Source organism: Homo sapiens, chromosome 1 (assembly GCF_000001405.40).
Source record: "Homo sapiens chromosome 1, GRCh38.p14 Primary Assembly".
In the NCBI taxonomy this organism is placed as follows: Eukaryota; Metazoa; Chordata; class Mammalia; order Primates; family Hominidae; genus Homo; species Homo sapiens.
In genome coordinates this window covers 143,659,621-143,685,245 of record NC_000001.11, presented here as the reverse complement: position 1 = coordinate 143,685,245, position 25,625 = coordinate 143,659,621, and the positions used below count along the sequence as shown (strand labels likewise).

Genomic DNA, 25,625 nt, shown 5'->3' with positions numbered 1-25,625 from the left:
AACACACAACTGTCACCCACAGCTCTAGTTGAATTTTTGTCATGAAGCTCTTTCTCCTCAATAAGCATACTAGTCTTAGAACAAGTTTGAGATTGGGAATATCTTAAAATAGGCTTCCTAAGTGGCTACTAAGATTTGCTGGGACTCCAGTTTCTGGTCAAATGTGAGCTAGAGAGTAAAGGCAACATTCTTCACCCAGAAGAAGACAACAGTAAATGGATACACCACATTTTTCATCAACCTGAGAACAATTATCTCAATGAATATTAAATTAGTGATGAAATACTTGTTTCCTCAAGCGCGTGATGCTGAAAATTGGAAAAGTTGCCTTGGTTGTTTAAATGATTGTGTGCTCAGATTGAATTTGAGTGTACACAAGGTGCAGCCTCCAGCAGAAAAGATTCTAAGAACTGGATGTGGGTAGAGGATGCAATTATGGAACTTGGTATCTTTCCCACCTTCTTTTCTTTCTTCCCATTTTGACTGGTCTTGTAATGCTAGGCCCAGGCATCAATATACATACAACTAAAAAAGCAATATCAGTGCAAAAGACATAATATCTATACAATGAAATTACATGGTGCCTATTGCTAAAGTTACTTTAACTTCACATCATGTAGCCCAGTAAGGTGACTGCCACCCACCTACCAAGGGTATTAGTCAGCTCAGGCTGCCATAGAAAGATACCATAGGTTGGGTGGCTTAACAACAGACTTTTATTTTCTCAATATTCTGGAGGCCAAAAGTCAAAGATCGATGTGCTCACAGAGTTGGTTTCTGGGGAGGCCTTTCTTCCTGGCTTGCAGAAGTCCACTTTCTTGCTTTGTGCTCCCATAGCCTTTCCTCTGTGCCTGTGTGGAGAAAGAGACAGATTCTTTGATGCCCTTCCTCTTCTTATATGGACACCATTCTGACCAGATTAGGACCCCAACTGTATGGCCTAATTAACCTTAATTACCTCCTTAAAGACTCTATCTCTAAATACAGTCAAGTTGGGGGTTAAGCTTTCAACATATGAATTCAGGGGAAAACAATTCATTTTATAAAACCGAGTAATAGGCACGATCCTATGATTCTTTTTTTTTTTTTTTTTTTTTGAAATGGAGTTTAGTTCTTGTTGCCCAGGCTGGAGTGCAGTGGCGCAATCTAGGCTCACTGCAACCTCCGCCTCGCAGATTCAAGCAATATTCCTGCCTCAGCCTCTCAAGTAGCTGGGATTACAGGCATGCGTCACCATGCCTGGCTAATTTTGTATTTTTAGTAGAGACGGGGTTTCTCCATGTTGGTCAGGCTGGTCTCAAACTCTGACCTCAAGTGATCCACCCACCTCAGCCTCCCAAAGACCTGGATTACAGGCATGAGCCACCATGCTCAGCGATCCTACGATTCTTTACCTATTAAATCCTGTGACATTTGCCTGGTGGTGGGGCCAGGAAGAAGTTGTTAGCAAGGCTGCTATTGCTAATTCTATGATTAGGAAAGCACACCTGAGCTGAAGTGCCTGGCTTATGGGAAAGAATGCAGGTCAAACAGGTATGAAATAAAAATAGGGGGAAATGGTAGCAAACAATAGCAGAGCTCTTACATGAGTCATGTATCCAGGAAGGATAAAAATTGTGCAATTTCATGGAAATCCTATTGTCTTTATCAGGAGAATGACTTTACAAGTTTTATAAACTGGGGGAAAAGGATGGTGTGGATTAAGGAGCACACCTGATGCTCAGCATAATGTGAATTCTTGACTAAACAGCTATAGGGTGTGAAGGAAAGATCAGCAGTCAAAGAAAACTCAAAGATTTTTGGACTGAGCATATGGAAGGATGCAGTTTCCATCCACAGAGGTGAGAAAATAGCCTGTGCGGCAGGTTGTAGGAGGAAAAATAGAGATCAGCTCAGGACCCCAAAACCCTGCTTGAAAGAGTTTTCCATTCGCCCTGTTCCCATTTCTACATCCCCTTGAGATTTTTGTGAGGCTGAATGCAGAGTTGTTTGGCCACTTCTCCCCCTGGGCACCAGTCCTTTCATCCTTCTGACAGCATCTTCCATGTCCCTGGCTCTGATGACAATCTCCCAACAAGATGTCATCCTGCAAAGGTGATCTGAGCCATAGCTGGGACAAGGCCATCCACTTCTTGACTCGTGTGCTTTGGTGGGCCCCAGGAGTACTTCACTGTTTCTCAGAGTAGTAGGTCTTTTGTATGGAACTCTTCTGAGGAAAACAGGGAGGAAACAGCCTAAGGGGTGGAAAGGGAGGGCTGTACCAGGGATTCTAGGAAAGCTGAGCCTAGGCTCTCAATGCAGCGAACATTTACCACCTGAGAAGTTCTACTCAGTTGCTATTGTTAGTTTAGAATCTCATCAATAAAAATGGCTTAGAAATTTGTTTTCTTCCTGGTTATATGTGCACCTACATAATATCCTTAATTTTGCCTCTTGGCTCAGAAGCCTACAATACTTCCTATCTCCCTGGCCCTTTACAGAAAATGTGAACTCTGCAGACAACAATGCCCCAGGCTTTACAGAAAAAGACACCCAGGAATCTCTTTTACTAATTTTCATTTGTTGGACATTTTTCCTGGTCACCAATAAGTTCCCTTTCTTGGCTTGTAATGATTAGTTTCTGGTTGGTTGTCATTTGCAATGACACAATATATACTGGGACCTCAAAGCAGAAAAACCGTAGAAGAAAACCTAGGAAATATCATTCTCAACATCAGCCGTGGCAAAGAATTTACGGCCAAGTCCACAAAAGCAATTGTAGCAAAGACAAAAATTCACAAGTAAGACCTAATTCAATGAAAGAGCTTCTGCACAGCAAAAGAAACCATCAACAGAGTCAACAGACCACCGACAGAATGGGAGAAAATATTCACAAACTGTGAATCTGACAAAGGTCTAATGTCCAAAATCTATAAGGAACTTTAAAAAAATCAACAAGAAAAAAAATCCCATTAAAAAGTGGGCAAAGAGACATGAACAGACACTTCATAAAAGAAGACATCCAAGCAGCCAGCAAACACAGGAATAAATGCTCATCATCACTAATAATCAGAGAAATGCAAATCAAAGCTACAATGAGATACCATCTCACATCACTCAGAATGGCCATTATTAAAAAGTCAAAAACCAACAGATGCTAATAAGGCTCTGGAGAGAAAGTTTATAAATGCTTGGAGTGAATGTAAATTAGTTCAGTCACTGTGGAAAGCAGTTTGGAGATTTCTCAAAGAACCTACAACAGAGCTGTTATTCAACCAGTAATCTCGTTACTGGGTATATACTCAAAGAAATGTAAATCATTAAAAGAAAAAGACACATGCACTCCTATGATTATCACCAGGCTATTCACAATAGCGAAGACATGGAATCAAGCTAGATGCCCATCAGTGGTGGATTAAATAAAGAAAATGTGGTATATATACAACATGGAATACTATACACCCATAAAACAGAATGAAATCATGTCTTTTGCAATAACATGGAGAGAGGAGGAGGCCATACTCTGGAGGAAACTAATGCAGAATCAGAAAATGAAATACCGAATGTTCTCACTTAGGAGCGGAACCTAAATATTGAGTTCACACAGACATAAACCTGGGAACCGTAGACACTGTGGACTACCATGAGGTAGGGAGGGAGGGAGGGAGAGTGGGTTGAAAAACTAGCTATTGGGTACTATGTGAACTACCTGGGTCCAATATATCCATGTAACAATCCTATACATGTACACTTGGTACATAAAATAAAACTGAAATTTTTACCAGAACAAAATTATATTACACTAAAAGAATTACTGTACAAAAAGTAAAATAATAATGGATTTTAAAAGATTAAATATTACAAATAAAAATCTAAAATCAATAATCCAAACTTGCACTTTAGGAAACTCAAAGAAAACAAGAGCAAATCAAGTCCAAAGTGAGTAGAAGACAAGAAACAATAAACACTAAAGCAGAAATCAAGGAAATTGAAAACCAGAAATCATTAGAAAAATGTCAACAAAACCTAAAGAGTGTTCTTTGAAAGGACCAATAAAATTGATAAACCTTTAGCTGGTGAGCCAAGAAACAATGAGAAAAGGTACAAATTACTAATATGAAAAAGAAAACAATGACCCTCACTACAGATCTCGTGGACATTAAAAGGATAGTAGAGGACTATTATGCACAATTCTCTGCTCACAAATTTGATAACTTCAATGAATTGGACCAAGTCCTTGAAAGATAAAGTTGACCAAAACTCATACAAGGAGAAATAGACAACCTAGATAGGTCTCTATCTATTAATGCAATTGAAGCAACAATTAACAACCTTCCAGAACAAAGCACCAGGTCTAGATGGTTTCACTACCAAACATTTAAGGAAGAAACTATGCCAATTCTCTCTAGAAAACAGAAGCCGAGGGAACACGTCTTAACTCTGGTCTAGGAGGCAAGCTTTACCCTAGTAGCGAAACGAGACAAATGGTTTTGAACCAGGATGTTGAACTAGTCTGGACTGCTGACCAGCTCCTGAAACTCAACCCTGGAAGAACTGTAGAAACGAGAAGAAAACATGGCTTACGGGAACTGTAAAAATTGGTAAACCTCCTGTAGAGACCAAGGCAGTATTGAACCGGTTTGTGTGGAAGGTTGATGTTCACCAATAGCAGAGAGAGAACAAGAAGGAGGAAAGTATTTTCGGTTCTGCTCTTGCGTCTCTCTCCATGGCTCTGGGCCAGCTGCGCTTCTTACCCCTTCCCGAAAGAGACTTGTCAGCGGCTCTTAATCCGCCAGTGCAGCAGCTGTGATGTAACATAGAGGACCCAATATAAACTTCGCTGAGGCAAAGAGTAGATGAAAACAGGGTGAAACCGGATAATCGCAGGGCTTTCTTCTTCAGAGTGTCCTCCCCAGGCCTCCAGAGCTAATGATCGCCATGGCCTCCCCACCACGCTGCTTAAAGAGAAGCATTAAAAAGAATCCCGTGGACAGAAGATTTGCCTGGTGGAGTGTAAAACAAACAGGGCTGATAGAAATGAGTTTTGGGGATATGCTGCTCTCCACTCGGGGCCAATCCTTTAATTTGCCGAGACCACTAAAGACTGGGCTTTCCTCAACAGGAAGGTCCGAGGCCCCTCTCTGCAGCTCCCCTCATCTGCACGTGGGTTCCTTCTCACAAGCCTCCCCTCTCCCTGGGTCCCAGTTCCCCAACATTGCGTGTGTCCGCCCAACCCCACAGCTTCTCTCCTTTCAGGAATGTCATTGCTTGAGTCGCACTCCATCGCAAGATGTGTCCCAATGGTCTATCCAAGGTCCAGGCAGAGAATCAGTGACCAGGTGACTCTTTGTACTGCAGAGATCCAACAACAGAGACGATAAAAGTCGTGCCGGTTTTAGGGCCAAATATGTAGAAACGCGGAGACCAACCAGACCCACAGGCTGCTTCAAAGAGAGTCTCTGCTTAGGTAAATTCCGCTCCGGGGCGGAGTTCACACCTGTAATCCCAGCACTTTGGGAGGCCGAGGCTGATGGATCATGTGAGGTCAGTAGTTCAAGATCAGCCTAGCCAACATGGTGAAACCCCGTCTCTACTAAAAATACAAAAATTAGCAGGAAATGGTGGCATGTGCCTGTAATCCCAGCTACTTGGGAGGCTGAGGCATGAGAATCACTTGAGCCCGGAAGGTGGAGGTTGCAGTGAGCCAGGATAGTGCAAGTGCACTCCAATCTGGGCCACAGACCGAGACTCTGTCTCAAACAAACAAACAAACAAAAATAAATAAATAAAAGAAAAATAAATTCCGCTACGGAAAGAACCTGAGGAGTACACAGTGGTTCCCCCGACCCCCCGCTCCTTTTTTTTTCTTCATTAGCGTGGCACAGTAAGTAAATGTGAAAACCACAGGGCACAAAGACAGGACGCTGCATTTGCCGGAAATGGAATCCAGGTCTCCCGTGTGGGAGGCGAGAATTCTGCCACTGTACCGCCAATGCCTCCTGACCCCCGAGCTCTGCAGCCTTGGAAACAGTTAAGACACAGACTTGGGGAAAGGAGTCAAGATTTTCACCATGTTCTCTTTGGAAGATGTGACTAACAAAAAAGACACCCAGAGCAAAGGCTCACAGTGGAGATTTGCATCAGGCAACACCACAAAATTATGGCTTCACATTAAAAGGGTTGACTTGAAAAAGCCTTATTCTGAGTAGGCTGTGTGCAACTGGATAAAAAACCTCTGTAGGAAAACATCAGAAATTCACCCAGCTTTTTGTCTCTGGTCTTGTATCCAGTGTCAGCCTGTGGAAAGTTCTTGCCTCGCTTGTTGATGTCTTCTCTTTGCCTCCCCATTGCCTGGTACCTCCCAAACCCTTTCCTCCCAACCTTGACGCAAACATCAGCACTTTCCTCAAAAAAGGCCGTCAGAACCCAGGAACTCGAGTGTGAGGTGAAGGGAAGAAATCTTGGCATGAAATGTCCATTTCTTCCCTCTTGTTTAGGTCTCTGTAAAGTATAAGAAGTTAAAAGCAAGATCTGATCGCTGGCGTTTTCCAGGAACTCGATAGAGGTGTAGGAGGAGGGAAGTTCAATTATCACCCTGGTCTCCTGGAGCATCCCAGGCACAGTCCCAAGAGTTCAGCTTGGGAGGCCAGTTCAGGGAAAAACAGTTTCATTTCATTCTAGGTAGATGCTAGGGTATTACTCCTAACATAAAGTGTTCTTTTGCTGTTTACTTTTGTCAGATATTCATGTTTTCACTCTCATTCTTTTGTTTGGTGGTACAAACAAAAGAGTCGTACAAATGAGCATGGTACAGATTTGCACTACTCTTTTTGTTGTTTGTTTTCTTGACTTTAAAAAATTTTTTATTTCCAACTTTTACTTTAAGTTCAGGGGTACATGTGCAGTATGTGCAGGTTTGTCTCATAGGTAAATGTGTGCCATGGTGGTTTGCTGCACTGACCTTCCCATCACCCAGGTACTAAGCCCAGCATCCATTAGCTACTCTTCCTGATGCTCTCCCTCCTCCCAACCCCCACCTTCCAACAGGCTCCAGTGTGTGTTGTCCTCACCCCCGAAACCTATGTATCCAAGCATTCTCATATTCGGCTCCAACTTATAAGTCAGAACACACGGTGTTTGGTTTTCTCTTTCTGGGCTAGCTTGCTAATGATAATGTGCACTGCTTTTGACCTGGTGCGGTGGTTCACATCTGTAATCTCAGCACTTTGGGAGGTCGAGGCGGGTGGGTCACCAGGTCAGGAGTTTGAGACCAGCCTGGCCGATATGAAATCTCTACTAAAATCTCTACTAAAAATACAAAAATTAGCTGGGCATGGTGGCGCGCGACCTATAGTCCCAGCTACTCAGGAGCCTGAGGCAGAAGAATCGCTTGAACACAGGAGGTAGAGGTTGCAGTGAGCCGAGATCGAGCCACTGCACTCCAGTCTGGCAAGAGTGAGACTCTATCTCAAAATACTACTACTACTACTAACAATAATAATGTGCACTGCTTTGAATATTTAACCCTTTTCCACCATTAAAGCATTAGAGCTGGCATTTCCTTTTCTATCCAATATGAGATACTTAAATCCATTATAATTAGCAGTAATTAGTGTTATATTGGAGACGATGCGCATAGTCTCATTCCCACCACCTCACTGTATGATTTCTGTGTTTTTGCTTTGTTTATAAAATCTCTTCCTGCCTTTCTTAACTAGACTGTTCTGTTTTGGTAAATTTTTTGATTTCCTGTAGTGTTTTTGAAATTCCATATCCCTGATAAGTCAATACATTCTGTTAGATCTCAGGTGCACAGGAAGAAGGTAATCATGTACCTTAGCTCAGGGCACATTATGGTGGCTGCTCTCAGCAAGGCCCTTACTGTCTTTCCTTCTTTTCTCTGTTCATCCCACTCCCATTCCCCTGTCCACTTCCAGACACACGTTCTGAGAAGTTTACTACATGCTCTTTTATCCCACACTTTCTCTGCATATTTTAAGAAAGGGATGTCTTTGGAGAATATACATTTTTCTTTGGGGATTAGGGGTGTTAAAACAACTTTAAATTGTGAATTGGTTTCCAAAAACCCATTCCATCCTCTTTACTCCATTCTGTGTACTATCTTCTCAACTTTTCTATTCTGATACAGAAGTTTGCATATAGGCCAGGTGTGATGGCTCACGCCTGTAATCCCAGCACTTTGGTAGGCTGAGGTGGGCAGATCATGAGGTCAGGATTTCGAGACCAGCCTGGCCAACATGGTGAAACCCTGTCTCTACTAAAAATACAAAAATTAGCCAGGCATGGTGGTGCACTCCTGTAATCCCAAGTACTCAGGAGGAGGCTGAGGCAGGAGAATTGCTTGAACCCGTGAGGTGGAGGTTGTAGTGAGTGGAGATCCTGCAATTGCACTCCAACCTGGGTGACAAAGCGAGACTCTGTCTCAAAAAAAAAAAAAAAAAAAAAAAGAGAGAGAGAGAAAATACAATAGTGCCACCATTCTAAAATACTGTCTGATAGTTTCTAATACAGTTAAAAATACACCTATTTATGACCCAGCCATTCCATTACTAGATTTATACTCAATAGAAATGAAGGCACAGGTCCATAAAAAGACCCATAGTAGAATATTTGTAAACACCTTATTCACAATAGCCAAAACTAGAAATAGCCCAATTGTCCATCAACTGTAGTATATTCACATGTTGGAATAACACTCATCAATAACACCAAAGAGCTGAGATACATGTCATAAAATGGAAGCATCACATATCATTGTTGCATTAAAAGAAAACAGGTAAAATCAATGTAGTCCTTTACGTGATTTCTACAAGAAGCAAGAGTAAATCACGGAGATAGAAGTCAGAATGGTGATTGCCTAAATGGGGATGGGGTGAGGATTGACTGGAAAGGGGCTCTAATGACTTCTTGGTCTGTTGAAAATGTACCATAACTTGACATAGGTGATGGTTTCTTTTGTCAAAATGCACTGGCTCACACACTTAAGATTGGTGCACTTTGGTCTCTGTGGATTATACTTCAATCATTTACTGATAGCAAAATAAATAAATAAATAAATAAAAACAAAATTAAAAATTGGGGTTGGAGAAAGTCACAAACTTTAGATTTTATTGTATTCTTTAGGTTTTGCTTAAAATACCCAGTTGGAGTGCGAACTCTCATCTTCTCTTGTTCATTTCTGATTTGGCCTGAAAAAGGCCCCACGGATTTTTGAAATATCTGAGCCAGAAAAACGGGTACGGCCACATCATGTTAACATTAAAGATTCCAATAAGGCTGACTGAGAGGGGGCACCTCATCTTTTGGGTGTTGTACTTGCTCAGAGAGGAGGAAAAGTCTTTCAAGATAACCGGACCCCTAGGCATTCAGGGTAGGGTTTCCTTCTATTCTCGACACCACAGAGAGTTCCGAAGTCACAGGAAAGTTGTGACCTCTCTAGCCGCAGGTCAACAGCGCAGCCTAGGCTGAGGTTAGAGGCTAAAGGGAAAGAAGAGCGCTACACCCTAGAATGGACGTTGCCACGACTGGGATTCGAGCCCAGGCTGCTGCGGCCACCGCGTAAAGTACTAACCACAATAAGATCACGGCAAGCCACAGGAGCTGAAGCGCGCCGCGCTCCTTCTTTAAACTTAATGCAGGACTGCTTCCCTTTTGGAGACCCAAGGGTCCGCGTAGATTTCGTTCTTTCTTGGTGTCTCTCCGTTTTTCCCCCCTTTCTTCCCCATTCTGATACAATAAGAAAACACTTCTCATCTCTCCCTTGTGCAGTCCTTATCGCTGCACAAAGCTACTGGGAAGTTTCCCTGGTGCATGCCTCTACCGACTTCCTTGCCCTCCTCCTCGCAGTTCCCTGTTGGATTCACCCCTTGCCCGGCCCCGGCCTCCTGCCCCAGACACGCACCCAAAAACAACGCAGCTGAGCCCCCACAGCTCCCTGGTTCAGAGTGGCAAGAGAGGCCACGGGAGGCCTTGCCCCTTGCGCGCCCCACAGGATGCGGAGAAATCAATCGGAATAAATGCTTTTTAAAAAGAACTTACTTCCCCTTCGCGACGAGCCTCAGCAACATGTCGAAATCTTGTCTCTACAAAAAATACAAAAATTAGCCTGTCGTCTCAGCTACTTGGGGGCTGAGGCAAGAATATCACTTGGCCCCAGGAGGTCGAGGCTGCAGTGAGCCTTGTTTGCACCAGTACACTCCAGCCTGGGCGACCAAGTGAGACCCTGTCGCAAAACAAAACAAAACAAAACTTCCCCATAGAAAAATAGTTCATGATTTGATTTTTGTTGTTTCTGTTGATATACAATCAACTCCAGCCTAATCAGGAGACACACATGTCCTCCTCCCCATCTTCTAGGGCTGAGGCTTGGCAAGGCCCATGGTGCCTTGTATCTGTCAAACTCAGGAATCCCAGAGACCTTAGAGAGGAACTCACTTCTAGTGTGATAAAAATGTTCTTTGCTCCCATGGAAGGCTTGTGGGAGTAAAGTGCCTCGAGTTTTTCATGTTTAGTAATAGGAGAGCTATTACAGTAGTATCCTATTCTCAGGATGTGCCTGGGTTTACTGATTGCTCTATCAATAATGTGACCAGTGGAATCACTCATCCTCATGGTGATCCTCGCCATTGTTTGTGAAAACAGCATTTCTTCCTCTGTTTGTGCATGATTTAACCCTTTTCAAGATGTTTTTGAAATGAGGTGGGTTTCATGACTTTAGGATTACAAATGATGCTGCAATCTCCACCATTCTTGTACACATATCTTTGGTCACTCATGCAGATATTTCTATAGTGTAGAGAACAGGATGTGCCATTTTTACATTACAGCATTTATATAATGCTTCTAATTTGAGTACATTCTGCAAATTTATCTTCCGTGGGAGCAGTAGCAAATCATACTCCAATGTGTTTCCCAATTCTATCAATGTCCCTTTTGTCATTTACTTGCTGGCACAACCAACTTTCTACACATCGACGTATGATATTCCACTGAGGGAAGAGGCGTCCTCCTGGCTTAACTGAGGGGGTGTACAACCGAAGGACATGGTGGACATTACTCACAGATATTCTGTGGCATAGGATGAGCTGCTAAACTTCTAGGATGTTTTAAAGTCCTCCAACATCTGTAATTGTTTTCTGTGGTGACCAAGTCATGTGGGTATGGAGAAGATGGGTCACAATGACCTCTTTGACAGCTTTCTGTCAAGTCGCTTATCCAAGGGGAGCAAAATCACAAAGTTCCCAGATGACTTTTTTCCTCTCCCCTTTCCTCTTTTCTTCATAAATCTCGGTTTTGCTTTTATTTGACCAAACCAATCTAAGGCCCGTTCTCCCTCCTATACAATGGTAAATTAACATGCAAATAGCTATCCCTTTATTATTCTTTGATAGATTTCTGCAGTGGCTATGTCCATAAAAATTAGCCCATTTGAGATACAACACTGGAGCCAACAGAACCCTGCACCCAACAGGCACCTTGTGCAGACCTGGACCCTTAGAGCTATTGGCTCATGTTCCTTCTGTTCTTCTATCGAATATCATGAATAGAAACTGAGCTCTTTGGCTTTTACCCACTACTATGGTTATAGCACATTTTCTGTCTCTCGTCTCTCTTATTTTTGTATCAAGATTTTCTGCCATCAGTGGCATCAGTGTGGGTTCCTGGGTTTGATGTTATGCAGCGAACTTCTGGGATCGTTTTATGACTATATAACAGTCCGTATTAAATTCTTCTGTTGATGAAGGTTTGTGTTGTTCCCAGTTTTTCCTTAGTATACAAATGAGGTTAATAAGAACATTTTTGGTAGAAGCCTTGTTGGATGTATTGTTCATTTAACGGGGGTGATCAATAAAGGTAAGTGTGCTTCCCTTTCAGGTAGGCTTAACTCGATGAGAAACTGCCAATTATTAGAACAGCTGTTGTGCTAAATTGCAGTCCAACTAACATCACACAGCAATATCATACACACTCTGAATGAGGAAGCAGGAGAGGCAACAACTTTCAAAATCAGTTTCTCTATGTTTCCTTTCATTTTCTTGTGAACCCTTAATGGCATCTTTGAAGGTGGCTGTGGTCACACCAAGTGCCACCACCAGCCTACTCAAGTCTTGCCCCAGAGCCATGGAGTGATACACCAGGGCAGCCCAGCCAAGTCTCAGGCTCATAAACACCAGGCAGGAATAGATGCCTGTGAAATGAGAAGGGTCAGATGATTCCTCCCTCTCCCGACATGTCTGTGCCTCTCTTTGTGGCTGCTGTGTTGCTCAAAACAATTGCTTGCACTTATTTTGTCAAAGATAAAGTCAGACATTAGTCAAAGCTGTGAAAACAGATTTTATTCAGTAACTACTGACCAAAGCAGAGGGGGCTGAATTCCATCCCGTTTGTGCAGAGGTGATGGCATTCTAATGAGAGAGTGAGGCAGGGGAGAGGGCAGGGTCAGGGCACAAGTGAAACATTATGAAAGATTGATCATTGTAAGCTTCTGCCTCATCAGGACAGCTGTTTCTGCCAGCTGGCAATATTAGATGTTAGGATCCTAACCTCCCACAGAGACCGGAAGACAGAGATTCTGTCCTTCCTGAGGACTACACCTAAAAGGAATGGCTTTCAAATCCTGTGGAAAGACACACTGGAGTCCCTAGGAGATACATACATATCTCAAAGGGATGGAGGAGGGATTCCCTTCTTAGTAAATGCTATAAGAAAGAACCTACCATCATCAGCAGGTATTGGCTAGAACTAAAGTAAGTTCCCCTGGTAGCCTTGAGCTTTCTTAGGTAGGCATTGTCATGGGAGCCTAGGGTCATCCATGGGACATGGTCTTATGCTATTAGGAGCCATGATAGAGTCTGGTCATCTCTTAGCGCAGAGGTTTAAACTGAGTCTTTGTGTGCTGAGTTTGGTGGTTCTCACTTTCCATCCCCCCATTCCATGGCCAGGATTTTACTGGACTCTGATAGATGGACAAGGCCACAGGCCATTTTCAGTGATGTTCAAGCAGCCTAGGCATATCTATTGAGAGCTGAATGAAAATAAAGAAAACCATGAGATTGAGAGTGGGCCCCACAATAGGTATGTGTTACCAATATACAGGAGATAAACAAAAATATTTCTAGGCTTTGTCAAAATGGAAAGTGACTTATGCAGCCAGGATGAAATTCAAACTTACATTAGCAAAGTATACAGCTTATTGATATTATGAATAAGAAAGCCATGGCAAAATGACAATCCACAAGTGGCAATGGTAGGTACGGGTAGGGAGAGACTCCATAAGGTAAAAGTTATCCTCACTTTAAATGAAACTCCTATGTGTTCCTACAGTAAGGGAACAGAAGCCAATGTTATGCTGGAATATATTAATTGTCACGGGATAAACAGGCAGTACATGATGCTACATTTATTAATCACTTCTATTGAGAGCATTTGTGAAGGTTAATTTTTGTGTCAATTTGACTGGGCCAGGGAGTGCCCAGATGTTTGGTTAGACATGATTTCTCACTGTGTCTCTGAGGGTGTTTCTGGAAGAGATTGACATTTGAATCAGTAAACTGATTGAAGCAGATTTCCCTCCTGAGTGTGAGTGGGCCTCATCCAACCCATGGACGGCTTGACTAGGATGAAGGGTTAAGAAAGAAGTTTTTCTGCTGCACTGTCTTTGAGCTGGGACATCAGTCTTCTGCCTTAAGCCTTGGACTTTGTCTTGAACTATATTTGACTCTCCTAGGTCTAGAGCTTACTCAGAGTAGAACTTGGGCTTCTCTGCTTCTGTGTGTGTATGTGTGTGTATCCTGCTCATTTTCTTTCTCTGGAGAACTAAGACTAATATAGTATTATATGCCAGTTGCCAGTTTTTGTCTTTATTCTTTTGGAAAACAAAACCCTGGAGGGTTCTCAAAGAAGAACAGTAAGGATTACTGGAAGTTTTAAACTTTTAGGAAAAGCCCTAAGAACAGCTTTTGTTAAAACTGTCTTCAAGAAAATAAAGGGTGTTGGGAAAAATATTGTTGCCTTAATGTTTTTAAGCAAAGGCATGATCAGTAAAGGAGAAATATACTTAGGTTTTCTTAAGTTAATTTTTACATTTTAATAATTCACATACAATCTTAGGAACTCAGAGAGAAAAAGAGAGGTCCCTTGTATCCTTTACTCAGTTTCCTCCAATGGTAACATCTTAGTAATATTTGCAAATATTGCAAATGTATTGCAAATGCCACTGTACCAGGAGATTGACATTGATACAAGCAAGGTACAGAACATTTCCATCAATACTAGGATTCATCATGTTGCCTTTTTATAGCCATGACCCTGTCTCTTCAGTGCTGCTCCTCCTTCCCTCCTTAATCCCTGGCAACTACTAATCTATTCCCTATTTTTATAATTTATTTATTTCAAGAATAATTTGCATAAATGGACTCCTACATGTCACCTTTGGGATTACCCTTTGTCCACTCAGCATAATTCTGTGGAGATTCATCCAGGTTATTGTGGGTATCAATAGTTTGTTGTTTTTTAAAAAATTATTGAGGACTCTTCAGTGCTATGGATATATATCACAGTTTGTTTAACCATTCACCTCATGAAAGTCGTCTATACATTTTTCCCCCAGTTTTGGCTATTAAAAACAAGGCTGCTATAAACTTTAAGTACATGGATTTTGTGTGAACATAAGATTCTATTTCTCTGTGATAAATGCAGAGAATGCAATTCCTAGGTGGTATGGTAGTTGCACATATAGTTTAAAAAGTAAAAACTATACAGATATTCTCCAGAGTGGGCTGTCACTTTTTACATTTCCACCAGCAATGTATGAGTGATCCAGCTTTCTCTGAATCCTTGACAGCACTTGATGTGGTCATGCTTTTCTTTTGGCCATTCTGATAGGTATGTTAGCAATTTCTCATTGTGATTTTAACTAGTATATTACTAGTTGCCACTAATGTTCTGATTTCAACATATGAATCTGGGGGGGCCGGGCACAATGCATCCCTTAACAATGTGTATTCTGACGTGGTTGGGTGTTCTAAAATTGTCAATTTAAGCCCCGCTGGTTGATCATGCTGTTGGGTTCTTCTATATTCTTGTTGATTTTCTGTCTGGTTTTTGTATAAATTGTTAAGAAAGGGGAACTTCGAAGCATATAGCTATATTTGTGGATTTGCCTAGTTCTCTGTTCAGTACTTTCAGTTGTTGTTGCATAGACATTTATGACTTTTGTCAGGAGAGGAGTTCGTGGATTGGTTGTTTCCTCATTATATAATGTCCCTCTCTGTCTCTGATTAGTTTCTTTGTTCTGAAATATACTATATCTGGCATTAATATAGCCAGTCTTGCTTTCCTTTGTCTAAGGTTTGCATGATGTATCTTTTTCCATCCTTTTGATTTCAACTTTCCTGTATCATCATATTTGAAGGTAGTCTCTTTGCAGCCAGGATGTAGTTGGGTCATGTCCATTAACCTACTCTGCCAATCTCTGTCTTGTAATTGGTGTACTTAGGCCATTTATATTTAATATGATGATTGATATGGTAGGGCTTAAGTCTGCCATTATATTTTTCTTTTTGTGTTTGTTCTCTCTGGTGTCGTTTTCTGGATATGCTTTCTTTTTCTTACCTTCCTGTGGTGACTTGAACGTCTTTGAGAATGGTGTTTTGCCTTATCCATAGTGTTTTTGCATATATCTGTTTGGATAGCCCTCTTGGTTTTCCCTGATATTCATATGTCTGTGCATCTATGTCTTACCACACAGTATACTGGTGTCATTGTTGTACCAGTATGAGTGAATGATAGATGAGTTACCTTCCTTACCGGTCTCTTCACCCTCCCAGTTTATAATTGTTTCAAACATTTTCTTTTTGGAGAGTTAGAACCACTTTGAATGATGCTATGATTTTTTTCTGAAGCCGTCAATCATAGTTTAGAAAACTCAAGAGAAGAAGGAAGGCCTATTTTGCTTACTTTTTTTTTTTTTTTTTAAATTTTCTTCCTGATGTCCCAAGGTTCCTTCTTTAATCACTTCCTTTCTGTCTAGAGAACTCCCTTTAGCCTTTTGTTTTAAGGTAGAACTGGTGGTCAGAGATTCCCTTAGCTCTTCTTAATCTGAAACAGTTTTGATCTTCCTCTTAATCCCTGAAAGATGTTTCTGCTGGACAGAGGAGTCTGGGCTGACAATTGTTTTCTTTCATGGCTTGAAAAGCACTGCACAACTTCTTTCTGCCTCCTTGGTTTCTGATGAGAAATCCATCATCACCAGAATTGTTTTTCCTTTCTAGGTAAAGTGTCACCTTTCTCTGTTGCTTTCAAGATATTTTCTTTGTCTTTCATTTCCTACATTTTATTTTTTCATGTATCTTGCCATAGACGTCTTTGGGTTTTCTCCTATTTGGGGTCTTCACAGCTTCTTGAACCTGTAGGTTTCTGTCTCTTGCCAACTCTGGCAAGCTTTTAGCCATTGACTTCTTTATGTTTTCAGCCTCTTCCTCTTCTTCTTCCCCTTCCAGACATAGATAACAACATGAAAGTGAGACCTTGTGAGGCAGTTCCACAAGTCCCTGAGGTTCTATTCACTTTCTCACCCAGTCTATTTTTTGCTTGTTAAGATTGTGTAATTTCTATTTTTTCATCTGCAGTGGATGGATTTCTTTGCTCTGCACCATCCATTCTGCTGTTGAGCCTATGTGCCGGACTTTTTACTTTGGTTGTTGTATTTTCCACTTCTAATACTTCCATTTGTTTCTCCTGTAAGTCTTGTATTTATTTGCTAAGGCTTTCTATTTGTCCATTTGTTTCGAATGTGCTCATAATTACTGCATCATTTTCATCAGGCTTGCTTGCTTTAAAATCTTTGTCAGACAATCCCGACCCCTCTCTCATCTTATTGCCGGTGTGTATTTGCTGTCTATTTTCAATCAGAATAAGATTTTCTGGTTCTTAGTGTAATGAATGATTTTCAATAGAAACTTGGACTTTTGGGTATTATGTTATCAGACTCTCGATTTTATTGAAACCTTCTGTTTTAATTACCTTTTTTCTGAGTCTGCTTCTGCAGGAGAAGGGGAGTGGTGCCATCTCCTTGTAGCCAGGTGTGTGTGGAAATCCAGGTTTCTCACCTGACCTACCTCTGTTGACACCCTGAGTGGAGAGCCCAAAGCGAGGAAAGAGCACAGGGATGAGGCCCCTTGACTTGAGTGAAGGGCGGGCAGGCAGGGTCCTGCAGCTCCTGGAAGGACCACGAAAGTCGGTACCCTGTCAAAGCCAAGAGCCCTGAAGGCCGGACGCCAGGGATAAGGTCCCGAGGCGGGGCCCATAGACCTGGAGGGGCGGGGTCCACACTACTGCCGCCCGGAACTCCGGCGCTCAAACCCCGCCGGCTGCAGCAGCTTCTGGAAGCACGGGAGGAGTTCCATTACTACCTGAAACCCTTCGCTGAGCATTAGGAACCAGGCCTGGTTTGCCCGCCGTGAATTGGATCGGGAGACGAGGGCGCCGGATGAGGCGGACTTCATGTTAGCTTTAGATCCAGAAATTTCCAGTCTTCTCATCTATCGCCGAAATCTTCTTTCTGAAGATTTCAAGCTGACAGCTACAATGTCTCTGAAACCAAGGAGGTCTTTCCTGTGAAGCCCACTTGGCTTCCTCGCGACCCGAGCTCAGTTGCGGAACCGGTCGAATTGTGTGGCGGAACAAAAGAAAATGAACCTAAATCTGCACCTGGAGCTCGAGCCAAAGACCCATCCATTCAGAGTTTCATGCTCTACTAATTGAGCTAGTTGGGGGCGAAAGGGGACCCCTACACATGTCTTTATCGGTAGAGCCCCTTGAGCCAGTTCAGAGATCGGGAACTAGAAGGACTCGGCTCATCACCCTCTGAGAGCCACGTCCGCACTTTGGTGGCAAGGAAACTGAGGCTCGGAAAGAGAGCAAGTGCCTGGCTCTGCCTCACACCATGCTACAGCAAGGCTAGAATGGAACACCGCTCAGTTTCCTTGTGGCCTGTCCTCAATACAGCCCAAAGCAGTGGCCAGGCTAGCAGAGGTGAGAGGTGTTGAGCAGCTGGGCAGTGACTGCTTGGAGCCCTGCAGTCCTGCAGCCCGCTTGGGTCACAGAGAGCCATTTTCAGTGGGGCTCTCCTCCTCTTAGAAAGTTAATCTTTACCTTCTCTTGTTTCCTCTGACAAGGAGATTTCTGTGTCTGGTGGTCAAGTGGCTAGGATTTGGCGCTTTCACTGCCGCGGCCCGCGTTCGATTCCCGGTCAGGGAATGACTTTTGCAACATCCCCAAATTGTGTGAGAAGATTTGATAGAGAAACACACAGGTGATGATTAAAATACAGAAATATGTTCCCAGCAGCAATATTTGTAATAAGAAATGTTCATCAGTTAGGATTTGTTATATGTTGCAATCCCTCCATACCCTAAAAGGATATACAATTATTTCAAAGATGGATGTAGATAACGATAATAGCCGTCATGAAGCCACCGATGATAATGATAGTAATAATGGCTACTGCTCTTGGAGCGTTTACTATGCATCAGGGTGTGTGTTCAATGTTTTACTGCCGTGTCTTATTTAAACTTGGAACAACCCATTCAGAAACTCATTCCTATTGGGCCCATTTTACAATGTGGAAATGGAGGCACAGAAAACCTGAGTGACTTCAGAGTCACACCGCCATGGAATGAGGCTATCTGCTCGCGTCTATGGCTTCATGGACAGAAGTGTCCAAGGTTCTCTTGTTCTTCTGCTAGGGATTGTCATCTTCTCAGAGATGTGCAGCCTGAAGAATCAGCGAAGGCAGGTGCGATGAGCAGGGAGGGAGAGAAAGGAGGTGTGTATTGGGCTTGGGATAGGTAGGTTCTGGAGCTCCAGAACTGAGCTTTTGCCTAAAATGCACCTTTTCTGAACAGCATTTATTTTTCTAACAAACCCTTAAGCCTTCAGGCAGGATTTTCTTCATCTAACTTGAAGCAGATGGGCAACAAAGACCCCCATATATCTGGACGTGGAAGAATGAAGGTCAGAAAAGAATAGTTACAAGGTTAACTACGCCTCTGCATGGAACAGGACGAGTAGTCTTTAGTTTTTTGCCGATGATTGCCCTGATTGCTCCACAAAGAGGCAAGTGGTGCCTGGAAATCTGAGGACATCTGCCTCAGACACCTGTCTATTATTAAATGCCCCCATCCCCAGGCTGCACATCCTCACTTCTTTGTGCTATTGCATGGGTTCTAGATGTCTTCTAGGTGACACGGAGGCCAGAAGTTGTGTGGTTGGGCACATTTCTGAGTTGACACCAGGCCATGTGAGTGAGGGCAAGATGCAGGAATGCCAGATCCACGACATTCTCCCTGGCCCACACTGTCCCCCTGCACTTCCCCTGTCGGAAGTGGCCCCACTGCACATGACCACAGTAGCCTCTTGGTCTGAAGTCACCCACTTCCCCATCCTTCGCTATGCTTTATCTGTCATGCTTACCGCTTGTGTTCCCTGTGCCCGAATGGGGAAACACTTGTGGGGAGGACACGAGCTGGTTGTGTTCCCACTGCCCGGTCCCTTTTGATTCCTCCAGATGTGGGCTCGGTGGGGCAGGACTTGCTCACCATGCAGCTACTCACCTAGAGCAAGGCTTCACACCTTGTGAGCACCCAACATATGCTCGGTGAATGAAGGCATTCCAATGCAGGCTTCTGAGAGACATCAAGAATTCTACTGGACTCCCCACTTTTAGTCCTTTGAATAATGCAGGTAATGGGAAGACAGAAAAAGCTTTTCAAACCTGGGTGTTGTTTGTAGGGTTAATTCCAAGTCTAGAGGGCACCTTCTGGAATGAGCTCCCCTCTCTGTAAGGGGACGCACCCTCAGCCTGTGGGACTCTGTAGGCAGAGAAGAAGGTGTACCCTGAACACTGAAGAGGGGGAGAAGAAAGTGGGTAATACTGGGGGCAGCCTGGGGTATGAGAGACAGACAGACAGACACAGGCACACAGATACAGATGGAGAGGTTGGAAAGGCAGGGCTGGGTTGAGGAGGAGTCAGAAAGCAAAAGGACCTATATGTCCAAGAGCCAGATTTAGGGTGTAAAAGTTGGAGTTCAGTTTTGCTGAAGAGAGTCAACAAAATAAACAAGGCAAAGGGAGCCAATAACTCCAAGGATCCAGGTCTGCATAAGAAGCATGGTGAGGTGCAGGATCCAGAGATTTGTCTCCAGTGAGATGAGTTTTACAGAAAAACAAAACAAAACAAACACCATCAAGGAAGGAATAACACAGAGGTAGTTATTAGCATGCCAATTCACCCTTGTCTAGGAGGGAGAACAGTCTGTAGATCGTTTGCATTCAACAAAAGCAGAATGCAATTCATAAAGAAAAGAGAAAAGGAACAAATTTCTAGAAGGAGCCATTCTTTCCCCTCCTATTTGATAAGCCTCTTGACAGGAAGCAGTTCAGGGTCTCTCCAGCCAGTTTTCTCTGGGCTTAGGTAGATCACCAGAGAAAACAATTACAATTACTGGAAGACTTTCTAAACATCTTGGAGGTTTAGCTGTGGAACACGTGCCAGAGAGTATCTCTGGGAACTGTCCACCATGTCTTTCTGCTGCACCTCCTGCTTAGGTAAGTCAGGCAGGGCACCACCCCCTCACTGGTACATCAGACTGATATATGGAAACTGCTGTGCTGGCAAGAGCACGAAGGAAAAGGCTCTCTCATTGAGTTGGAAAAATATGTTGGAAGATAAACTGACACACCTCCTGTTGAAGTCAAACTAAGAACATGTAAAGAGATGCCTTAGGCTCCCGGCAAAGTTTGAGTAACGGATGCCCGATTTACTCTCCTGCCTGAAATCTGCTCACTGCTCCTCTCTGCAAACAAACAGGCACCTGTAATCCCAGCAGTTTGGGAGGCTGAGGTGGGCTGATCCCTTGAGCTCAGGAGTTTCAGACCAGACTGGGCAACATAAGGAAACCTCATCTCTACCAAAAAAATTCAAATAATTAGCCAGGCATGGTGGTGTGTGCCTGTAGTCCCGGCTACTCAGGAGGTTGCAGTGGGAGGATTGTTTGAGCCTGGGAGGCAGAAGTTGCGTGAGCCAAGATTACACCACTGAAGTCCAGCTTGGGCTACAGGGTGAGACCCTGTCTCAAGGAAGGAAGGAAGGAGGGAAGGAAGGAAGGAAGGGAGGGGGCTGGGTGCGGTGGCTTACGACTGTAATCCCAGCACTTTGGGAGTCTGAGTCAGGTGGATCACAAAGTCAGGAGATGAAGACGATCCTGGCTAACACGGTGAAACCTCCATCTCTACTCAAAATACAAAAAGTTAGCCTGGTATCGTGGTACATGCCTGTAGTCCCAGCTACTTGGGAGGCTGAAGCCGGAGGATCACTTGAACCTGGGAGGAGGAGGTTGCAGTGAGCCGATATCACGCCAAAACCACAATATCAGAGATGATAAATTCACTGGATGGGATCAACAGCAGATTAGACGTTGCAGAAGAAATGATCAGGGAACATGGAACCATGAATAATTGAAAATATGCAAAATGAAACTCACAGACAAAAGAGATTTTTTTAAAATAAAAGATTATCAGTGAACTGTAGGGCAGACTTAAGAGGTTTAAATTATGAGTAATGGAAGTCCCTGAGAAGGAGCAGGGGGGAAAGGAAACATTTATTTCTTTCTTTGTTACTTTTATTAGGAATGGGGTCTCAGTACATTGCCCAGGCTGGTCTTAAATTTCAGGCCTCACTCAACACCTCCCGACTTGGCCTCCTGAAGTTGTGAACCACTGTGTCCGGCCAATTTTTGAAGAAACAATAGCTGAAAAGTCCCCAATCATAACAAAAATTATAAATCCAGTGACCCAAGGAGCTGAGGAAACCAAAGCACAAGAAACATGAAGAAAACCACTCCTAGATACCTCATAATAATATTGCTCAAATCCGGCCAGAAGAAAAATACATTGTACATACACAGGAACAAAGATGAGGATTGCATCAGCTTCCTTTCTGCTCTTGCCGGCCTCTACCAGGAGCAGCAATGCACATGAGCAGACATAGAAGCAACATCTTTAAGGTACTGAGGGCAGGGGAAGTTAACCTAGAATACTATACCACAAAAAATAAATTATCAAAACTGGAAGTAAAATAAGGACATTTAGAGATGTACAAAAGCTGAAAGAATTCACTACCAGCCAACCCACACTACAAGAAACGTCAAAGGAGTCTTCCAGGCAGAAGGAATCCAATACCAGATGAAAATCCAGATCTACACGAGGAAATGAACACCAGAAATGGGTAACTATACTAGTTTTTTTTTTATTCTGTAAATTTCTTTTGTAAAAATTTGACCATTTAAACAAAAGCAATAACAATGTGTTGTGGGGTTTGTAACATGCGTAAAAGCAAAGTGCATGTCAGCTACAGCATCAGCATCAAGGCCAGAAGGCGAGGTATAATATCACTTGAAGGTTGACTGTGATAAGTTAAAATGGTTTGCTATAAGCCCTAAGGCAATTACTAAAATAACAAAAGAAAGAGTTATATCTAATAAGCAAACAGAGGAGAGAGAATGGAATGATATAAAAACCGTGTGAACACTATGATAGAGTAATTGCTTTCCACATAGTAATTGCACCTCTACCCTATAGAAATACTTACACCAGTGGCTGAAAGTGCCCATACAAGAATGACTAGAGCATTATATGTAATAGTAAAATCACAGAACCAATTTAACCTCAAAAGCGTATGGAAAGGGCTAAATGAATGACAGAGAGTGTCAGGCGCGGTGGTTCACGCCTGTAATCCCAGCACTCTGGGGAGGCTAAGCGGGCGGATCATCAGGTCAGGAGATCCACACCACCCTGGCCAACATGGTGAAACCCCGTCTCTACTAAAAAATACAAAAATTAGCTGGGCGTGGTAGCTTGTGCCTATAAGCCTAGCTACTCTGGAGGCTGAGGAAGGAGAATTGCTTGAACCAGAGAGTCGGAGGTTGCAGTGAGCCGAGATCGCGCCACTGCACTCCATCCTGGCAACAGAGCGAGACTCCGTCTGGAGAGGGAGAGGGAGGGGGAGGGGGAGGGGGAGGGGGAGGGGGAGGGGCAGAGGGGGAGGGAGAGGGAGAGGGATGAGAGGAGGGTAAAGTTGGTCTCGCTCTGCCTTTCCATGAGTGCATGTGCTGGATAGAAGAAAGTTGCCAGCGGTTTAAGCATTTTTAAAATGCAGGAAACGTTCCATAGAACGAGCTCGAACCACCCGCCTCCAGACTTGGAAGCAAGCACACCACCCGACTGCGACACAGGAACAGTCGACTCTCGCTCTGGTATCACCACGCAGAGCAAGCGTCCATCTAACGTTAGGCGGAGCCACCGCCTTTTGTAGAACAATTGTGCAGGCTCCAAAGCCTCGGAAAACCGGAGAGGGGCAGCTTGCCGGCTACGGTTGAAACCCGTGCATTGGGTGATTCTGAAGCTGGAAGGGCAGCGGAATGGCCTTCGCCTCGTCCTGCCCCTCGCAGGCATCAGACCCAGCATCCTGGAAACGCCCGGGTCCGCGACTCCCTGAGCCTGAATCGCGTGGGTCCGAAGGGAAGCAAGCAGAACGCCCGGTGGGCTCTAGTGACAGCTCTCGCAGTTCTTGGCTCCGCCTTCACCTGACTCGCTACGCTGCTTGCGCTACCCTCGCTCACCTCTGCTTCGGTCGGTCCGGCGGGAGAGAGGAAGGGTGAAAAGCAGAAATACGGAGAGGCCGGAGAGAAGTAGAGGAGGTGCGAATGAGGACAGAGAGACCTCGCGAGAGAGGCCCAGGCTGGAGTGGAGGAGATAAGAATTTTTCTCATCACATATGAGGATTGGGAGGAAGGGAGGGAAAAGCAGAGCGGGTATGAAAGAATAGCGCGATCCCCCTGTAGCTGTCTGGGAACAAAGCCGCCTAATAATCGAAATCTATTGATGTCAAAATTAGTAGAGCAAGCTCAGCTATCATCGCTTGGCCTGTGGCTCGCCATGATCGTATAGTGGTTAGTACTCTGCGCTGTGGCCGCAGCAACCTCGATTCGAATCCGAGTCACGGCAATGTCGTTCTTCCAGGCCGTCAGCTATCCACTTTCGCTCCCTGCAACCAGGCGCCTCAGGGAAAGGAAAAGAGACCTCACAGCCCACTAACCTGGCGAGGAATCCAAGGGAAGCGCTGGACGTGCTCCGTCCATTTCCGAGCCTCACACAGCAAATAACCCAGTCAGCCCTGTTGGTGGCTTACACGAAGGCAATGGTGCCCTCAGAACCTGTTTTCCAGTCACTGGGGCTGTTACACACGAAACGACAAGCTTTTAATGACTTTAAACTTCAAACTCTTTGTTGTGGCCTACAATGGCTTGTCTCCCAGCTCGTCGCCAAGTTTGTATGCCAACAGGAAAGTGTGGGGAAAGGCAATCTCGTGCCAGGGGTCTTTCCACTTCCACTCTGCCGGGTAGGAATGGGCCTTGGGCCTGGAGCACTTCCTTCCCAAGAGATAAGGAGTCCTCACAGCCTGTGCTGGACTCACCTCCTTGTGTGGGAGTATCTTTCCCCCGATCAGACTGTGTACCCCTTTGTTCCACTTAAACATGTGCATCAACTGGCACCTGGCCAGCTGCTGTATCTGCTCCCCGCTGAGGGGAGGGGGAGGGGCCCTTTCTTCTGCTTCTCAAGAGGCTGTGTGTGCAGGCCAAATGGAGGGACCGGATGGCCATGGGGGACCAACGCCCACTACTGAAGCGGAGCCCACACCCGGCTGTGTCTCCTCTCTGTGTGAATAATGTGTTGTTTTTCCGTCCAGTGCTTGACTGCGTTGTATTTTCCTTGGCGACTCTGATACCAAGAGGCCAAGAGAAATGATACCAAGAGAAATGTTCAGACTTCTACTCCTGCTGGTAAGAAACAGATTCCACTAGCTGGACAAGGCGAATGAAGATTCTTCTTGTGTGGGGTCTTTTTGTGGACACGTGCATTCATTTCCTTTGAGGAATACCAAGTACTGGAATTGTTCAATCATATGGTAGGTGTAATGTTAACTTTATTAGAAACGGCCAAATGGTTTCTTCCAGAATGCTTTCTCACCAGCAAGGAGAGTTCCACTGGCTGAACATCCTTGACAGCACGTGGTGTTTACTGTCTTTTAAATACACCCATTCTGGTGGATGTAAAACGGTACCACATCATGGCTTCAATTTGTGTTTCCTTTAATGAGTAATGCTGTTGAGCATATTTACTAATGCGTTTTCACCATTTAGCAATCCTTTGAGAAGAGAGGCTATTGAAGCATTTTCCCTAATTCAATTGGCTTTGCCTTTTATTACTGATTTGTAAAAAGTACTCTCTATATTCAAGATTTGAGTTATTTTTTTTTTCAGGTAAACACGGGGCAATTATCTTCTCCCAGTCTGTGGCTCACCTTCTCCCTTTTCATGGTGATTCTTGATGAGCAGAAGTTGATAACTTTGGTTAAATTCTACTTTGCTTTATTTTTTCCTGTTATCTCTTAAGGCAGAAATGTATTCTGCTACATTCTCTTCCAATAACTTTAGGGTTTCGTTTTAATTTCTAAATCTATGGCATATCAAATTCATCTCCTGACCACAGCAAGCTTAGCATCTGC

The 25,625-nt window shown here is 43.8% G+C and overlaps 1 long non-coding RNA gene and 1 pseudogene across 1 annotated transcript; one reads left to right on the top strand and one right to left on the bottom strand.

Moving 5' to 3' along the window:
* Nucleotides 1-693: 693 nt before the first annotated feature.
* On the bottom strand, nucleotides 694-24,276 carry LOC124904406 (uncharacterized). The gene is made up of 2 exons (XR_007066578.1): nucleotides 24,156-24,276; nucleotides 694-851 (listed from the first exon to the last, which is right to left on the bottom strand). It is a non-coding gene; the product is annotated as an uncharacterized LOC124904406 (long non-coding RNA).
* TRE-TTC7-1 (tRNA-Glu (anticodon TTC) 7-1) lies at nucleotides 18,187-18,258 on the top strand (annotated as a pseudogene).
* Nucleotides 24,277-25,625: the final 1,349 nt, after the last annotated feature.